We start from the raw sequence: 20065 nt of genomic DNA, 5'->3' as shown, positions 1-20065 counted from the left end.
TTTGTTTTCCATAAACAAATGTCACATTTAAAGTCTATGACATTTTACATTTATGAAGATGTATCAGGAATTATGGCTAGTAAGTTGGTGTAGAAAAGTTAAAGGAACCATGTGAATGTATCAAAATAATCACTTGCAGAGATGAAAAAAAAGAATTTTTTTGGAACTTCCTATCATCATTTGTTTGCTAAACTTTATTTTTTGACACAATTCTTAATTAAATAAATCCCTGTGTATAAACACATTACTCTGGGCTAGGAGAATACCGTTGGGTTGTGCAGGGGATTGTTTACTCAAATAAATAGCAAACAGTAGTTATCATTAAGATCATTATTTTATTTCCATATGAATATTATGCTAAAGAAATTCCCCTGTTTCATTTCACTTACCTATGAACCATAGAAACCACAGAAGTTTCCATAGCTTCTAATTTTCTAAAGCTTCTCTAAGGTCATTTAGAAATGGATGAATTAGGAAACATCCATACTAGACAGCCTAAGGGGAAGTAGCCTATGTATTTACTAGTAACAGCTTGAGAGCTGTGAAAATTGAGCAATTATCAGAGGAAATGCTTTGTGAAGCCATGACCTTTGTCTCTTTTTGTCTCCATGTAGAACAGCAGAAAATGTGTAGTAGCTAAATAAGTGTTGATAAATACTAAGATCAGAAAAGGACAAACATGATAAAATATATCACAAATTTATTCTAGCCTTTACCTATAGATCTGTGGTTTGTATTTATCTACTTCATAGTTGGAAAAATTGAGGCCCACATCAAGCCCTTTCGATGTGTATGGAATCAAATGGCAAAATAAAAAAAAATAGTAGCTATTTTGAATGTACTGTAGTGATTTGTTCAGTTATTCATTAATTCTAACCTGATAAATAAGAATGGATATATGAATAATTATGTTCATAAAATATGTTCCAGCAAAATCCTTTTCCACAAGATCACTTTTTTACCATTCTAATCTTCTTCATCATTTATGTATGCCAATATTCAGCATCTTCCTTTTTCTTCCATCTCAAAAGTTTATCCACATCGACATGTGGAACCCACACTGTAGAAGGGATGCATTTCAAAAAAGAAGGAAGCCCACTTATTCAACAGAGCAGGGGAATCAACCAGAGCAATCAATAAGATGTCAGGTAGCCAGCCAGATTTCTCTCTAATTTCTATTTCTTTTTAGGATTACTAACCTGAGAAAGTAGGAGCACCTCCTTTCAGAAAAATGCTGAGATTCTGCTAGAGGGAAGGGGAGGAAAGGGGACTTATTAAATTTCTTACTAAGTCCACTATCTCATTTGATCAATTAACTTTCAAAAGCTGGGAAACAGATATTTAGCAAGTTCTTAAAGTGTTTATCACTTTACAAATTGAGGCGGCTTAGGTGAATCATGCATTTCATGCATATGTATCAACATTAGAGATTTCTGTAGTTTTATAACTTTCTGGGCTACTTCATTTTCTTAGACCCTGCAAAAACACATAAGAATACCCCTGTAATTATGCAAAATATGGTATAAGTTTGTTTCCTTTTTTAAAAAAGCGGTTACATAAAGAAGTATCAAAATTGGCTGCTTATTATTTTTTGCGTATCAGTCAACTCCCTTTTCTCATCCTTCACTGAGTAAAACAGTACAACTCTATTTTCTCCTTTTCTACCTGGACTTGTGGCTACATAATTAAGGAAGTCACTCTTGCATTTTATTGACTGGTGTGGCATTCAAAATTCAGACATTCAATTCAGGTAAAAAAAATCTTAGGAGAGAAACTGATCATAAATGTTTTCTTAAAAAATTTGCTTAGTGTAGCATCATATAAGTGGTAAAATTTTTAAATGCCATTATCCTAATTCTGTTCTAAATAAATCCAAGTAAAAATAAATATCTGAAATAAAAATTATTAGGTAAAATTTGTCTATAGTCATGCACCACCCTCTCATTAAATAATTCACTTTGAAAAAAAGTGGTTTGTTCTGAATGGGGGGAAAAGTAACACTCAAAAGATTTTTAAATTGTAAATATTTGGTGATCTAACATCAATATTATTATTAGTACATCAAGACATTTTAAAATGCATTTTTAGCACAGAGATTATTTACAAGAAAATCATTTATTTTCAACTCTCTATGCGAGGATGCTGTACTGAAGATTTTTGAGTGTTTAGAAACCTGTAAAAAAGGGGTAAAGTCTGGAACCTCCTTTCCAATAATTTGCTTGAAACATTTGCATTTAAAATTACACCATTAAATAACAATTATTAACTTGAACAGTTCCCGAAATGTTGGTGAAACATATTGCACATTTTTGGGGATATACTTTAAATAATATACATATGATGTATAGATTTTTGTGCTTTCAGGCTTCTCATTGTTCACTGGTAGAGTATTTTTTAGAAGATGGGAAATTTAATTTTCTATTTTATCATTCTTACCTATGATTGAACATCTAAATCACAGTTCCATTGTGTGGTGATACATAAAATTTTTGATTTTGGGGGAAACACTGGTAACACACCCTTTATAATTTTTAGCATGAATAGTACCTGGATTATGAGAATAGATGAAATGATATCAATATAAGAAAGTCAGAAGAGAAGTGATCCAAGAATTGCACCCTTGAACACATCATAATTAAAGGGCTTTTCTAAAAATACTGGAGATAGCAGATGGTCTTGAGTAGAAATGAAAGGAGGATTCAAGGATTCAGATAAGAATAAGAGGGGAATGCTGTCGTTGGAGATTAAAAAATGCGTGTTTTCAAGAAAGAAGAAATGGTCACAGTGTCAACTAAAGGAGAGGTGCCAAAGATATGAAGCATTGACCATTGGATTGAGCAACAAAGATGACACTGTTTATTTTATCAGATGATCAGAGAAGAGGGGAGGACAAGATTGCTAGTTTGAAGGAAAGGGTATGATTAAGTGGATATTACCCTTGATGATCTTGATGTTGACTTCCATTGAAAAGGAAAGTGAAAGATATTAGATATAAGGAGGGGTACTTTCAGGTATGAAAAATGAGGCAAGGTCTCACAAAAGAAAAGGGAGGAAATGGAATCAAGAGATCATGTGATGGGGTTGTACATTGATGAGCTAAGGTGACTCTCTTCCTTTGAAACTGAAAAAGTAGATGGGGGTGAGAGGAGAATCACATTTAAAGCTGTGCCTATTGGAGCCTGGAAGATTATGCAATTGCCTCTGCTAAGGCAGATATAAACTTCACTTGTTGAAAGAGGGACAATGGATTGGTAGTTGCTTTCAGAAGAGTGTTGAAAGTCCAGAATATGTTCAGTGGAGAATGGATTTTAAGATTCTAGTGGTAGAGGCATTCCAGGAAATCAGGTTACTACTATAGAGTGCTTTCCTAAAACAGAATGCATATATAACAGTGTTGGTATCAAGGAAGTAAAATAATTTTTTAAGTTAGTGGGTATCTTTGCTTGGGCTGCTATAACAAAATACTATAGACTATGCGGATTATAAGGAACAGAAATTTATTTCTCACAACTCTGGAGGCTGAGAAGAACAAGGCATTGGCAGATTTGGTGTCTGTTGAGGGCCTACTTATTATTCATACACAGTGTTCTTGTTGTGTTCTCACATGGCAGAAGGGGCAAGAGAGCTCCCCAGAGTCCCTTTTGTAAGAATGCTAATATCATTCATGAAGCCTCTATCCTCTTGACCAAAGGCCCCTCCTAGAATTAGATTTCAGCATATGAGTTTGAGGGAGATATATAACAGTCTATAACAATGGGATTAAACTGCCTAAGGTAGCTATTGAAGATGCCATGTTAATAATACAAATAGTTTATAAAGATCCCTGATGACACAACTTGTAGAAACAGTTTCTACAAGCACTAAATTTTTTGTTTTATTTTGTTTTTACTACATAATCTGAGGAAAAACAAAGGTGAAAATAATTTTACTTTCAACCTGGAAAATAATTATTAGTTAACAAAACATAGTAGGGTATATTTTCTCATTTGCATCTAGCAAAATGTTTTTGTCTCTGAAACAAAATAATCTTTTAATACTGTAATAGGTACAACTGCCATTTATTTAGTAATCACTAAGTATCAGACACTGTATTAAACATCTTCCAAACAATCTTCATAAAAAATCAATCCTCATACAAAACTTATCATTATTATTTCCTTGAAAAAAATGAAGAATTGAAGTTTGGAAAGATTAAGAAATTTACCCAGATCATATAACTGCTGAGTGTTTGGGCCAAAGCCCAAATTCTGACCGATCACTTCAGAACAGGAGAATTGCACCATTAGATATGTTGGTTTGAAAGATGAATCACTAGAAAAAGAGTTTCATGGGAAAAGCAATATGTGTTTTCATTTCAGGATATTGCCAAGATTAATTACCTTAGAAAATGTTCAGAAATTACCTACAAACTCAGTGAGCTCTTCAAAAGTATTTCAACAGAGAACTGCTTTTTAAAAAAGTACTTTGAAGGAATGAGTGATAGAAAACTTCTGTCTGGAAAAGCTACAATGATATAGAGTAAAAATTAGAATCAAAAGAAAAGGATGTAATATAGTCAGTAATGTCACATGATATCCACAGTAAAACATTGCTGTCAATCAAGTTTTTCTACTATGCACTCCAGTTTACTCATTCCTGGAGGAAAACAGTGTATCTTGAAAGTTGAAAGGGAAAGGAGGAAAGGGGAATGTCTGAGGGTGCTCTGTTGTTAGTGATAATGCAAATTAAACCAATATAATTTGGTGGCTGCCAAAAATATGAGAATGGGTTGCAGTTTTTTAAAATTATTTTCTATTAATTTTCTTGTGTCATTCATGACAACATGGATGAACACGGAGAACATTATGTTAAGCGAAATAAGCCAGGCACAGAAAGATAAATACAACATGTTCTCACTCATATGTGGAAGCTAAAAGAGTTTGTCTTACAAAAGTAGAGAATGAAATGTTATTAGACATGAGGACAAGGCAGGGACAGGCAAGCATAGCTACAAAAGTACAGCTACGTAGGAGGAAAAAGTTGTACTGCACCATAAGGTGACTGTAATTAACAGCTTATTGAATATTTTCAAATAGCTAGAATGGTGGATTTTGAATGTTTTCAACACAAATGATGAATGTTTGAGGTGACATATATGCTAATTACAGATTTTATCACTACATCTTGTATACACAACACACTCTATTGAATAAATATGTAAAATTAGTATATGCCAATTAAAAATAACAAACCCAAATAATAATAAGAATGTTACATTTTGATGATATTCTTGTTGCCTTAAAAGCATTATTATTGTGAACCCCGGGGGGCGGAGCCTGCAGTGAGCGGAAATGGCGCCACTGCACTCCAGCCTCGGCGACAGCGAGACTCCGTCTCAAAAAAAAAAAAAAAAAGCATTATTATTTTATTGTTATTTCTGAAATCTTATAATCTCTTATAACCTTGAAATAGGCCAAATGTTTTGATTTAAAATATCAGAAATTTATGGCAACATAACTTTAAATTGTATTATTCTATTAAAATAAGAAGTACCCCAAAACTTGACTAAACATATTTTAAAATATTTTTCCCCATTTCTCCCTTCTACAAGCCAGTGTGGAGAATGTAGCAGAGTAATATGTATAAGACCCTACTCCATCTATTTCTAATGTTTAGAGTGACAGAATCTGCCATTCCCCAAATATAAATAACAGAATCTAGAAATACTCTTGAATTCCCTTCACAAGGAATGAAATTTGCTATTAAGTGAAAGTAGATTCTCTCTACAGCTAAGCTAAGCCTTTATTTCATCTCTGAGAAATAAACTGGCTAAAGTAGAAACGTTAATGCTAACAAAACTGGGTTATAGTGTCAGCCCATTGACATTCAGGCTCCCCTGTAGTCATGTTGTTGCCACATATTGGTGCCCTGCTAATTAATTTTCTTGTTAGGTCACAAGGGAGCACTTAGGGAAGAGCTGTAGTATTTTGCTCCTTTCTACCCTGGACAAATAAATCAGCAGTCATGGATTATTTTTAGGGCTTTTAACAAATTCATTTGAGAAGTAATTCCTCACTGAAGTAGACTTTTCTTTTACATTTCTTTACACTGTTAGAATTTTTTATTGACAATAAGACAAAACTCTAAATTACATTTAACCCACTCAAAACAAAAACCTGCCATACTTATGTTTTGCCTTGGTCTTATTTTTGGCCTAAAAAGAATTCTAAAAAAAGTGGAATTATCTTCTTGCTCAGATGAAGGCAGATGGTACTGAGTACGTTTAGAACTTCCAGCAACAGTTTTCTATAGCATTAGCAGTGATGTACCATTTGCAATCTATTGTCTATTTAAATCTATTTAATTTACATTTAACAAGACATCTCTTATTCTTGTGAGTTAATTAAAGAGCTACTGACTATTACAAGGATACTAATTGAAATGCAATAAATAAGATAACTGAGTTGGTGTATAATTAACTGAATTTACATAAGTAATAAACACCGTATTGCAGTCTTCTAGAATGGAGTTGAACTAATGCTGATAGTCATCTTATACAAGAAGAATTGTCTAGGCATTTAATTAACATAAAATAAATGGCTCTGACAAATTAATTGTATATAATTTTTTAAAAGTAACTGCTAAAGGAATAATGTAACCACGCCTTATGTGGTCTAACATTATGGGGATCCTTATTAAATTTTTAATACATTTTTTTCAGGAAGAGAAATAATCCAGATTACAGGCAAAACATAGCTCTTATGCTTTGTAGCATTAGCTAATTTTTGTGTCCTCAGTTTACCCTGCATAAGCCCCTTAACAGTCTAACTCATAGATGTTATTTTACTCAGTTTCAGAAATGTCTCCATAGGACTTTCATTGAATAATTTCAACTTTCTCAGAAAACCCAGGTTCCTCCCAATTCCCTTCCTTATAATGGGTCTATAACTTTATAATATCATTTAATAGAATATAATAGTTTATAATCGTTACAGTTTCAAAAATAATTCCTCTTTTTTAGTGTATATGAATCAGTCTGTAGAACACATTAATGTTTCATAAAATGAGTCTTAAAAGCTCCATTCTGTATGTTATTTTGGTGAAGTAGTATTCTTGGTTTAAGTAAATAGTCATAATATATTCTAAAATGAATACAGGTGGAAAAGCAATACAAAAGCTATAGTAAATTGAAGTATTTTAGTGTTTAGTGTGGTAATAAAAAATGGTTTCTGCTCTGATATTTGTTATATATATGTTTTTTCTCTTTGTCAATTTGTATATTTTCAATATGCTACATAAACAGAAGAATATTTCTGAAAATGTTGCCTTTAAGTGTTATTTTTAGTAGCTTCTGATTCATATGTAAATTTTCTCCATTTAGGTCCTTCATGAATATTTTCTTTTGCTTTACTTAAAAGAAAAATAAGAGCTTTTCACCAAAATAAAATAAAATATAACATTAAGACTGAATAACATTAAGATTGAATAACATTAAATTCACAACCTCTAAGACAAATTTAGTAAAAATTAAAAAATATATATTTTCACTTAAAAGTACCTTGAATAGTATAGCTACTGAATATACTGATGGTTTCAACATCAAAAGTAATTCACTAGAAGGAAATGAACCAAGATACTTATTTTTAAAGAAATTACAGTATTTTATAGGCAATATTTAAGGAATGCCAGTATTACACACAGAAAAGGTATTTTTTTAAAGTCTGGCTTAAGACTACCAAAAGTTTCTGTTACTACCATTAAAATTATAAATTGGCTGGGTGCAATGGCTCGTGCCTGCAATCCCAGCACTTTGGGAGGCTGAGGAGGGAGGATCACTTGAGGTCAGGAGTTTGAGACCAGGCTGGCCAACATGGTGAAACCCATCTCTACTAAAAATACAAAAATTAGCCAGGCATGGTGGCAGGTGCCTGTAATCCCAGCCACTTGAGAAGCTGAGGCAGGAGAATTGCTTGAGCCCAGGAGGCGGAGGTTGCACTGAGCTGAGATCGAGCCACTGCACTACAGCCTGGGTGACAGAGCGAGACTCCATCTCAAAAAAGTAAATAAATAAATAAATCGTTACTGTGTTCACCTGACATATCACAATGCAATTAATAAAGCATTATCCTTATACTATGTACAGTATATTTAAGTATTAATAAAATAGTGAAAGACAAAATATGTATTTAAACAATTAAAAACACATTAATATGTTCTTTTTCTGACTAATTTTTTCTTTCTGTTTGTTTTCTTTATCAACATTTTCTCTGAGGACATTTCCTGCTATGGTTAATTATTTCTTTAGAAAAAAAACCCTTGTTTGTTTACAGAGTATTTATAAAGATTGATTGTATAACTGTCCTATTATACAATATACAGAAATGTAAATGTCTGAAAATAATTAGTATGGTTAAAAACAATCAGAGAGATTTGAAAATGCACATATATATTACATCTACTCTATCAGTAATTGGGATGGACTCCATAAAGTTGAAGATACCTCCCTCACGATACATACTTTATGCATTGTATACATACATATATATGTATGTAATATATATATGCATTTTACATCCAAGCTATCCTCTTATTGCTTTTTCTTACTTGAAAGCTTTCACATACTAAGCCATGGACTCTAATACTATGCTTCTACTCTCTATATATGTTCTGCTATTAAATTTATACTCAGGAGTATTTTTCTAAGTTCACTAGAGGAAAATAAAATAAAATATAACATTTCCTAAATTTTAAGTTCTATTACTTTTTCTTAACCTTTTGCCATCTGCTATGAAAGCTTGCAACTGCATGATGAATGACAGAGTAACAAACACTAACAGAAAGACTGAAAGCACGTTCAAAATTATAGAGCATTCTGTTAAACCAATTGTGATTTCCATTTGCCTTTATGCAATATTGGCACTTTCTGCTGGTAAAAATGATTTCTACTCTGAATGATAAAATTCAATATGCCGATATTTCCTGGTGTTCAGCAAAGAACACTTTGCTTCCAGGTGCTCAGCCACATGAACATGGAGAATTTCTGCACCAAGCTTTTAATTTGGTACATTAAAATCTCTTCATTTACCTCACATTTTGTTCCTTTCAGAACACTGATTTTGCAATAAAGTAATTCTACCTATTGTTTCTATGGTTGTCTCTAACTTAATCGTTCTGCCTGAGGAAAAAATGCAGCATTTCTCCTCACACTCATTTCCCTAGTAAGAAATGCTCTGTCTGAGAATCAGATATCAGCTTCTACATCTACTTCTATTTTTCTATTCCAACACAGAAGACAGGTGTTTTAGGTTGGGCTCCCTGGGGACACACTCTGAGGCAGAGATTTGCATGCAGAAAGACTGTGGAGGCTACTCTCAAAAATAACCTCTGTGAGGAGTGAGGGAAGGAAATAGGATTACAGAGAGGAAAGAGTACTGCAATCTAGTTCCAACAAAGACCTCAGGCTATCCCACAGGGAATTCTGGAGTTGGGCTGGACCATTAGAATTGTCTGAGATTAAAGCATGAGCCTGAGCCTTTTCCTCTCACTTCTGAAGGGTCGTTGGACTTGTGCTCCCTTTTACCTTTCACTGAAGGCAATTCCCTGGAAGGGATTAAATTGTGAGGTGCCAAGAGCCAATAATCTTGGCACCGCAGTCATAAGTGCCTTGATACCAAAGTCAAGTATCTTGGTGCTCTGACAAAGCATTCAATCTCTATTGACTAGAAGTAAGTTAGGATGGCTTGCTCATCTTTCAAATAACAATTTGCATTGAGATGGCACTATAAAGACAGTGCTATTTTTAAATCATTAAAATATTTTAAGACAAAAATATTTTGTTCTAAAGTAGTTTCAACCCATGTGTCTGCATGCATATGGATAAAGATACATACAGATATGGATATTTCCTTGTGAATATTATGCTTGGCATTTTGAAAGGAATTTCCAAATTCAGATTATCACCAGTCATCAAATAACATTACACTGGATCATGTTCAAAATAGTTGATTTTTTCTAAATTATACGTATTTTGTGTTCTCAGATATTATCTTGATCAACCAAGGGTTATATTAAACATGCATTTTATTATGCCTCCATGACCTGACACATAAGAAATGTAAAATCTAAGATAAAATCTCAAATACTATTTATTCCTCAATAATATATTGAATTAAAAAGGGCTACATTTAAAAGACAAAAATAATTGTTTTCTGAGAAATGTTTAATTGGAACCAAAATTGGGGAAGGCTAGGTTAATATTACAGGAGGAATCATAAACAATGGATTTAGTCTAGGGAATCTGATAAACTCACTTTTTTTTCTTTCATAGAGACAGGGTCTCACTCTGTGGCCCTGGTTTGAGTACAGTGGCAGAACATATCTCACTGTAGCCTTGACCTCCTGGGCTCAAGCAATGCTCCCACTTCATCCTCCCAAGCAATTTGGACCACAGACACTCACCACACTCAACTAATTTATTTTTATTTTTATTTCTGTAGAGACAGGATATCCATATGTTGCCCAGGAAGGTCTCAAACTCTTGAGCTGAAGCGATCCTCCCACTTCAGCCTCCTGAACTGCTGGGAATACAGGTAGGAGCCACCGCACCCGGCCCATAATCTCTATTATTTGTATTAAAATTTTATTATAATTTCCAGTCAAAATTGCTGTGTTGATTGCACTCTGGTCAGCCATAATTTACTGGCATGTGTGTCTACTTTTGAGATCTATTGTTTTAAAGTGAGGAAACGTTGTAATATGGCTACACATGTTTTGAGCATAACTCTTGGATTTGCTCCATGTTACTTTTCTATTCCTGCATGCCTATAAAAAAGTGAGATCTCTACCTCTAATATTAGCAGAGTCCATCATCTATGTGAAATAAATCTAGTATGAATTAGTTCCTGGAGTATGCGTAAACCCTGAATATGCATTAGTTATTAATTCTTGCATTTATTTACCTTCAAATATTTATTATTCACCCATTTGGCCTCAACCTGCAGGACCTTGAACATCTGCTGAGAATTTATACATCTCAGAAAGGCCAGTGAAACTGATGATTAATAGATTTGTTTTATTCAGGACCCAATAGAGTTGTTCATTATTATCTAGAAAATACAGAAATGTTATAAATTATATATACTTAAGTAATATTTTTTGGAACCAAGTAATTCGTATTGTAAATTCACTCACTGTGTCATTTATTTTGGTTTGCAAAAACACTCTGAAACACTGAAACATTATGCTAACTTGTGGTGGCACCTCACTCCTACCACTGCCCTAAACAAAATATACTAAAAACAAAGGCAAACAATTCCATATGAATGGTGGTACATTTACAGTTTAAAATTGTGTCAAAAAGCAAAGCTATTGTTCATTATAGTGGTAGGTTAAAGTTAGGATAGTTCCATAATTTTCTAGTCATTTTGGAGCAGTTATCTAGCAATTTACTGCTTGGATACTGAACTGTATCTTCTGAGAGCACCAGTCCTACTGAGCTACATTTTACAAATAGAAAAGCCAGATTCCTTCTAAGTCAGAAATGTATTTATGTTTTACAATTACAGTATGTTTTCACCAGCATTTATGAAACTTAGGAAATTTTATGTTCTTGTAAAATTTATACAGATAATGGATTTATCCATCCTTTTCTACCTTTTTCTTTTTATATGTAATATCAACTTAGGTGACATCATACATTTAAATACATTTTTAGTTATATGACAGTTATTATCCTAGCTTTAAGGAAAGGAAAAGCAGACAATATATGATTTTAAAAATCAGATTATAATGTTACCTTTTGCATTTTGAAAGATGTTATGAGCTTTTTACCTGCCACAACGTCATCTACAATTGCTCTATTTAACACAAGGTGTATCTGCAGTGGGAAAATTTACACATTCATGAGTTATGCACAATCCTCTCTGAAATATTGAGACTGCCTGTCTCATCTTCCAGAAAAAGCTGCAATAAGTTTACTCTCCTTGTCACCACCAGGTCTGGAATAGCAAATGAAAACTAATTCTTTTCAAGTGACAACTATGATAAAACAATTGATGAAATTTCAATGAATAAAACATGCCATTAGGGGGCCCAGGTGTGGTGGCTCATGCCTGTAATGCCAGCACTTTGGGAGGCCGAGGCAGGAGGACCACTTGAAGCCAGGAGTTTGAGACCAAGCCTGGGCAACATAGTGAGACCCAGGTCTACAAAAAATACTGAAATTAGCTGCGTGTGGTGGCATGTGCCTGTAGTCCCAGCTACTTGGTAGGCTGAGGTGGGAGGATTTCTTGAGCCTGGGAGGTGAAGGTTGCACTGAGCAGTGAGCACCATGCCACAGCACTCCAGCCAGGGCAGCCAAGTGAGACCCTGTCTCTAAAACAACAACAAAAATTACATCAGCTAAGAAAATATGCTAGCCAAGAAAATACTAATTATATCATTTTTTATAAATACTATTCCTTGTTTTTTAACATTCAGAAATAAGTAGGCAAATTAAGAGATGTTAATAAAAGTTACATATAATCCCAGCACTTTGGGAGGCCGCAGCGGGTGGATCTCCTGAAGTCAGGAGTTCGAGACCAGCCTGGCCAACATGGTGAAACCCCGTCTCTACTGAAAATACAAAAAGTAGCTGGGTGTGATGGTGGGTGCCTGTAATCCCAGCTACTTGGGAAGGTGAGGCAGGAGAATCACTTGAACCCAGAAAGTGGAGGTTGCAGTGAGCCGAGATTGCATCCATTGCACTACAGCCTGGGCGACAAGAACAAGACTCTCAAATAAATAAATAAATAAATAATACATATACATATGCTTTGTGAATTTAACGTAGTTGAATGTGTCACATGTGGGTTAAGCATCATGTTACTTAGAGTGGAGAACCCTGAATGCCAAGTTTACTGTAGGGTCCTACACTGATAAACAACTTCCAAAATAAGCTATTTATTCTAACTACTAATTTTACAATATACATACACATATAAATAAAGATGAAGATTCTGGTGAAAGAGAATCCTTGTACAAAACTTCAAATTATATGAACACAGTATGCTGTGTCTTCATACTGAACACAGTTGCATTTCAATTCTGGCTCTTTTAATTAAAACATTGGATGAAGTACTTAAACTTCTTCTAAGTTTTGGGCCCAATTAAAAGGAACAATTACACGTGCAATGCATAGGTAAGCTAGAATCATGTCCTTCTGAGTTTTGCTTGATTTAATCTATTTAAAAGTATCGTATGTTGGACTCATAAAAACTTTTACCACAAAAGGGACAAAACAGATCTCAAAGCTGAAAAACAGTGTAAATTACAAAGTTATAAGGTGCCCATATTTGACTAATTTTAAATTAATCATAGGTTTGGCTTGGAAATATTTTTAGCGTGTTAAACTTGTACAAGATTTAGATGCTTTACAGAGACATAATAAAAGATGACAGGTTAATTAAATATTGGAGATGTGCCAAAACACAGATACCTCCTCATCACAGGGTTCAGCAAGTGCTTCCATCCCAAGTGTTACATCTCAGTTGTAGGTAAGTTCACAAACCAATTAGGATCATGCTGGATGACTGGTTAGTAACTTAGTCAAATAATTTGGTATTCAGTGCTTATGAAAATTAGTATAACACTGGAATGCAATGCAAATATTTATTAATAAAGTTAGTATTCACCCACACAACTACTGTGTTTGTTTCTTTCAAAACTTCACTTAAAATCAGCAAAAGTAGCACATAGGGAAAGCAAAGACACAAAAATCCATTTCACAGAGAAGCAATCCAAAAGTAAATTAGGAGGCTATGACTTCCTAAATTTCTAATAATTTGATGAAAGAGTTAATAAGGCATTTTAGTTAACTTTGTCTGAACATCATTCATTTCTTGGTAATTTCTTTTCACAAATTGATTACTCTAAATTATAATTATGGCCATAATAGTCTCAAGAGTCTAGGAAATTCCTAGTAATTTTCTAGTAATGCATTGCTGCATTGACTGGGTCAAATTATAATTTCTATGTTTTCCTTTTCATCTTCTTCTGTACCCCCATCTTTCCACTAGAATAAAATTTTCTCAAGAACAGCGACCTTTTATGTTTTCATATATCAATAAAATTTAGAATCAGAATAATTGTAGAGGAAACTCATTTTTGAAGATTAATAACAAATTATACAAATTTATTGCCAATTATATCAGTGTATAATTTTATTTATATTATTTTCATTTCTAATAAATAACAAATTATATAAATTGAATTTTAAGTATGTTCTTTTTTTATTGTACCTAGCTTAATCACTGAAGGGATTTCGAACACAGAATCTCTTGAACATCTTATATTTTTGTGGATTTGTGGTAAATTACATACACAAACACCATTCTAAATACCAATTATATTTTCCATAGAAGTTTTCTTTTTGTTCTGAAGCACAGTTAAGTCTCACTTCTGTGGGCCCATACTATACTAATGTTTCTATATTAATAGGATTACTTTAAAATAATCATAAGATGAGTAAATCACAGAGAAAAAATTTATATTTGGTATTCAGAATTTCTCCACTCAAAGGCATGCATATTTTATAAGGAAATTCTAACAACATTAGTATTAAAAAGAGAATGATGACTCTGCTTGACCGTGTTACTAGACAAATGTACCAGTTCCGATTCCAAAAATGGGGAAATGCCTTCAAGCCAATCTGAGGGAAATAACAATTTGTAATAATGTGTGATTAATTTCCATTTGTCCACCTCTGAGTATACTATTAATTTTGTGGTTAAAGGGCTATTACAGAAAAGAAGAGAATGAAGTAATATTCAGCAGGTGCTAGGCAATATGTGCACATAATAAGCATCAGAGAACCACCTGGGTTTGTCTAACTCCAGCCAAATCAATCTCTTATCCAACAATACAAAATGTGTCAGACATAGAGGGAGAGAGAACAGAGGATTCTGAATTATTCACTCCTAAGGCAGTGATATAAATAAACTATTTGGAATATCCGTATCTATATATTGAAACCTATCTGTATCTATATATTTTTTATATATATGTAAATATATAAAAATCTATTGCCATATAACCATATATGTATATCTATCTATAGGAATAACTATTTATATATCTAGATCTATATTTCTCTGTCTATATATTTCCATATGCGTTCTTCAAAAGTTAGGATATTCTAAAAAGGATTAGCTAGTCTGGGTATACTGGATACAACCTTTCTTTTTTCCTTTTTTTAGTGTTTTATTAAGAAAGAAAAACACGTTTTTCCACAAGCAACAACAATTAATAAGCTTTTATATCATATATGATCTTGTAACTGTTGTTGAGCATTGTAAATGGTGGCGAAATCAGTGTCAGAAATTATTAATTTATCTGTTCAACAAATACACAGAGTTTAGCTGTGTCCAAGACAGTTACTACTGTGTGGTAAGTGAACTTAGATAATTGTGTCTCAGTTTTCTCTCACCTGTAAAGTGGAAACAATAGTAGTCTTACTCAATAAGTTTGTTAGGAAAATGTAATGAGCTAATACATGAACAATTCTTTTACAAATGTCTACCACTTAGAAAGTACTCACTACCTCTTACAGATAATTCAGTAAAACTTTTTTTGAGATCAAAAAGAGATCACGTCAGGTTAAATCCTCTTATACTAAACACTGGGTTTCTAGCCAAACTATCTTAGTTTATTAGATACTATTCGGGAGCGCAGGAATTCACCAGAGGTTAGAATATTTTATATGAAATAATCTTACTCTGCTGGACTCTAGTTTTTTTAGTCTTTGTCAAGGCATTCTTCAAAGTAGGAAAAATAAGCATGAAAATTTTGAAGACTATGGCTATGCCATTTAAACATCTTTTATTTTTGTCTCTTCAATCAGTAAGTTTTTTTTTATTTTTCAGGTCCTAGAGAGGTAGGTGTTACACATCATTGGTATCATCTTACAGGTTATAATGCTGTTTATAAATTGGAGGATCCCTGACAAATGACTGACTTGCTTAATGTATAGAAGGCATGAGAAGAGAAAACATATTATTAGGAACATGGATGCTATTTCTAGTTTCTAAATGGGTGTTAAAGCCAAGCAGCTAAATGTTTTCATCCTTGGTAAATAGTAAGAGGTAAGAAACCTGAGATATAATAAAGTTTGGTGATTTTGAATAAAATTATTAAATTATCTGGCCATTGTATTACTCTGTTGAAAAGTAAGATGCTGGTTCAGTAATGTACCATTTAGCTCTAAAATGCTGGTATCTGGTTTGTTGTACTTGCTCTAAGTCTGCTTTGACAATTTACTCCAAAAAATGTGGAATGACATCCATTACTATCATTTGTCAATCATTGTTTAAATAATCCTTGTAGAAAAATTTAAAAAGTAGCATAAAATATTCCAAATATTGTATATTTATTTAAATATTGCAAACCATCTAATGCATGATTGCAAATCATCTAATGGAAGTCACAGATACAAAAACTTACAGCTGAACAGTAAGTTCAACTGTAAGAAGGAAATGTTTAATTATTTGGAATATCATTCTAAGTTTCTGTATTCATTACAAACAAAATAAATACTTTATCTTTCTAAAAAGAGGTCAATAAAAATCTCAAGTGTAAAATAGTTACATTATTAAAGAGTGTGGATCAGATAATATATCAATATTTTGTTTCCTAATTCATTATTAGAACTATACCTCCAAAAGAAATTGCTAAATTATTATTTATAGATTTTTCTGAATATGTGCAACTCCATTCCTCATTGTACAAATAAAATTGAAGAACAATAATTGGAAGAATCTTATTGAAAAATTAAGAAAATTTTATTAGAGGAAAAAGAAAACATTTTCCTCTAAAAACTTTATTTAGAAAATACACATCAATTTAGTGTTCAAACTGATTTTATTACAGAGCATAGAATGCAATCACCATGTTTTAAGTCATACTCAGCCTTTCTTGGGAGCAAAACACAAAAACAGTTCCATTTATAATTTATATCTAATTGATTTGAATTGACAAGTAAAAGTGAGAATGAAAATGTAGACAGAAAACCTAAAGAGAAGAGGAAAAGTCTCTTTGGAGACAGACTGTTTTTCCTGCCACTCAGTTAATATGTCAAGTCTGAGCGACTTTAGGGTTAGAATGATTTATGGTGACTCATTCATTTTAATTACCCTCTAAAGTTTTGGATAAACACTACTGAAACTCCTTTTTCTCTTGGTTAATGTACCTGTTACAAGAACACTGCATTGTAATTAAGTGATCAAATTCAGGGTGCTACGGTAGATAAAGCTGTAAACTGCTTTTGGATTTCAGGAGATACAAAACCACCTCATTTCCTTTGATGTCATAACTTTTTTGATTTAATTTTTTATATTGATACATGATAAATGTACATATTTGGGGATACATGTGATAATTTAATATACTTTCATATAATTTGTAAAGATCAAAGCAGTGTAATTGAGATATCCATCACCTTAAGTATTTATCTTTTTAATGTTAGAAACATTGAAATCATTCTCTTCTAGATATTCAGAAATATGCAACAGATAACTGTAAACTATAGTCACCCTACTTGTCTATTTGATTCATGCACCTGCCACCTATAGTTTTTACAGTAGACTTTATCTAATGCTGAAGGAATAATGTGTGGAAAATTAAAGACAGGATAAAATTATTCTCAATTTAAGATAATGAGAATCAACTGAGATTTCAGAAGGATACTTGGCCATGGAGAATAAAACAATAAAAAGCAAACAAGAAAAAGAGAAAGAAAAAAACTCATTTATTTCAACAGTCTAGGAGTTTTAAAATTTAATTTTATTGCTTAGAGTGAGCATCTGAACCACAAATAATGATCATTTTTTTAGAAATTGTCCAGGATTAGATATAATGATGTCTTTATGTGCTTCAAAATAGTCTTAATCCCCCAAGAAATCATGCTGAATGCAAAAGCACACCATCGTATGACATATTTACCTGTCTACTGAGCTTCCCAAGTGTGTACTCATATTCCCTAAAGTAAGATTAAAAACAATTTTATAAAAACATTTCAACGTCCTACACTTTTCTAGTTTCTCTTAGGTATAAACATTAAATTTCCCTAGTGCCTCTCACATTTCCAGATCTTATTCCAAAAGAGTGCACAAACTAATTAAGAAAAATGAATTTATTAGTAAAGGGCAATTTTTATTATCGCATATAAGCATAACTTTGCAAAAAATAGAAGTTTGCTTAGACTGTATAAAAAGCTCTGCTAATAGTAACATCTTATACACTGTTGGTAACAACTGCTTAAATTTGGACAGATATATTTTATTTATTTTAAAAATTTGTGTCACCAGGACTTTAAATAATTTTAAGTTGTCATTTAAGAATAGTACATTTTTATTGCTTCTCATAGGTCACTTATTACATTTCTTTAGGAATTTGAATGGTTTCTGTAGCATATGCCAGCCCAGTGATACAAGTCCTTACATTTTAATAATTACAGCTTTAGAATTCGCAATCTAGTAGGATAGAACTACCCAATTTCTTTAAAAGAGTATTTATTATTCCCTATTCCTCCAGATGAGTTTTACTCTGTACTTGTCAGGATCTAGGAAATGTTCCAATAAGCTTTAATAGATACTGGATTAATTTATAAGTCAAAGTCATATATATTTTCATCTCTACCACATGAACCAGCTCTATACCTTCAACTGACCCTTCTGAACCCATGGGCACATCCCCATGACCCTTGTAATTCCCAGTTCCCTTGCCGCCTCCTCTTTCTCTCAGAGGATGTTGGAAATTTATTTTTGAAGTAGGGAGCAGCACTCCATTTATTCAAGTAGTTATTATTTTTTATTTCTCTTAACAGAGTTTTATAATTTTCCTTAAGTCTTTTGTGTCTCAAGTCAAAAATATGCAAGTATTTAATGCTTTGTATTACTATTTCAAATAGCATTTTTTCTGAAATTTATTATTTATTTATTTATTTGCTGTCCGGTACTAGTATGAGCAGAGTTTGTTTTGAGGATTTATTTTAGAATCTTATTTTTGAGCAGGCAATTCTCTGGCTAATTTTCTTGACTATTCTAGTAATATAAACATCTCATCTGAAAATACTGATCATTCTATTGTTTCTTTACCATCTTTGCTAGACATATATATTTTAAAATTTAATTCCTACACAGTTTGAGAGCCTACAGAAAGGAAGAAGCTCCCTGCAAGACTTGAATTTTTTTATTTTTTGCAATTTTAAGGGTTGAATTAAAGACCCTTTACAATGATGGACTCAGGGTTCAGGAAAGTAACATTAATTCAAATATCACCTATCCAAAAAGTGGAAGATTAGAGAAGGCCTTCAAAGACACAGATCAAAATCCCTCAGAGAAAAATAAACCAGTGACATTTTAACAAATCAGAAAATCTGCATAAAATAAAAACTGAAGAAATACACTAATATCTAGTGGATGTTTCAAAATAGAAAATATTTCTTAGTTTTCTTAATAGAAAGTATAGGATCAATTAAGCAGAGTCTAATTAGCAGAAGTAGATTAGTGGCCAAGTCATTTGCATTTCCTTATTGACGTGTGTGAGTGTGTGTGTGTGTGTGTGTGTGTGTGTAAGATTTTGGAAGGTTAAAAATTAAAATGGCATATCAAACATCTATTTTATTTTCAGATATTGTGCATTGACAATGTGCCCCTGCAAACCTCCAGGGATATTTATGGGTTATGTTATGACAAAGAACTTTTATACAACTTAGTATGACTGGCAAAAAGGCAGGTGACTAAAAAGAAAAAAAAAAGACTGAACATTACAAGTTTTCAAACAGTCTTTCATTGTCTGAGATGAAGCCCGAGTTCTTGTCCTACTTCCAAGACTATTAAGGAGCACGGACACAAAGGTAAGGTTAGAGCGAAAGTTTAGTAAGCAAAAGAAGAAAGTTCTCTGCCCGCAGAGAGTGGGTCCCCAGTTGGAATGCCCATTATGAGGTTGGGGTCCAGGGTTTTTATGGGCTGGTAAGGGGAAGGAATGTGCTTAGTCTGCGAGCTGTCTTGGCAAACTCGTGACTCAGCTTGGCGCTGGACCTTGGCCCCGGACC

The sequence above is a fragment of the Homo sapiens genome, chromosome 4, assembly GCF_000001405.40.
Source record: "Homo sapiens chromosome 4, GRCh38.p14 Primary Assembly".
Classification (NCBI taxonomy): Eukaryota; Metazoa; Chordata; class Mammalia; order Primates; family Hominidae; genus Homo; species Homo sapiens.
This window is presented reverse-complemented; position numbering follows the sequence as displayed.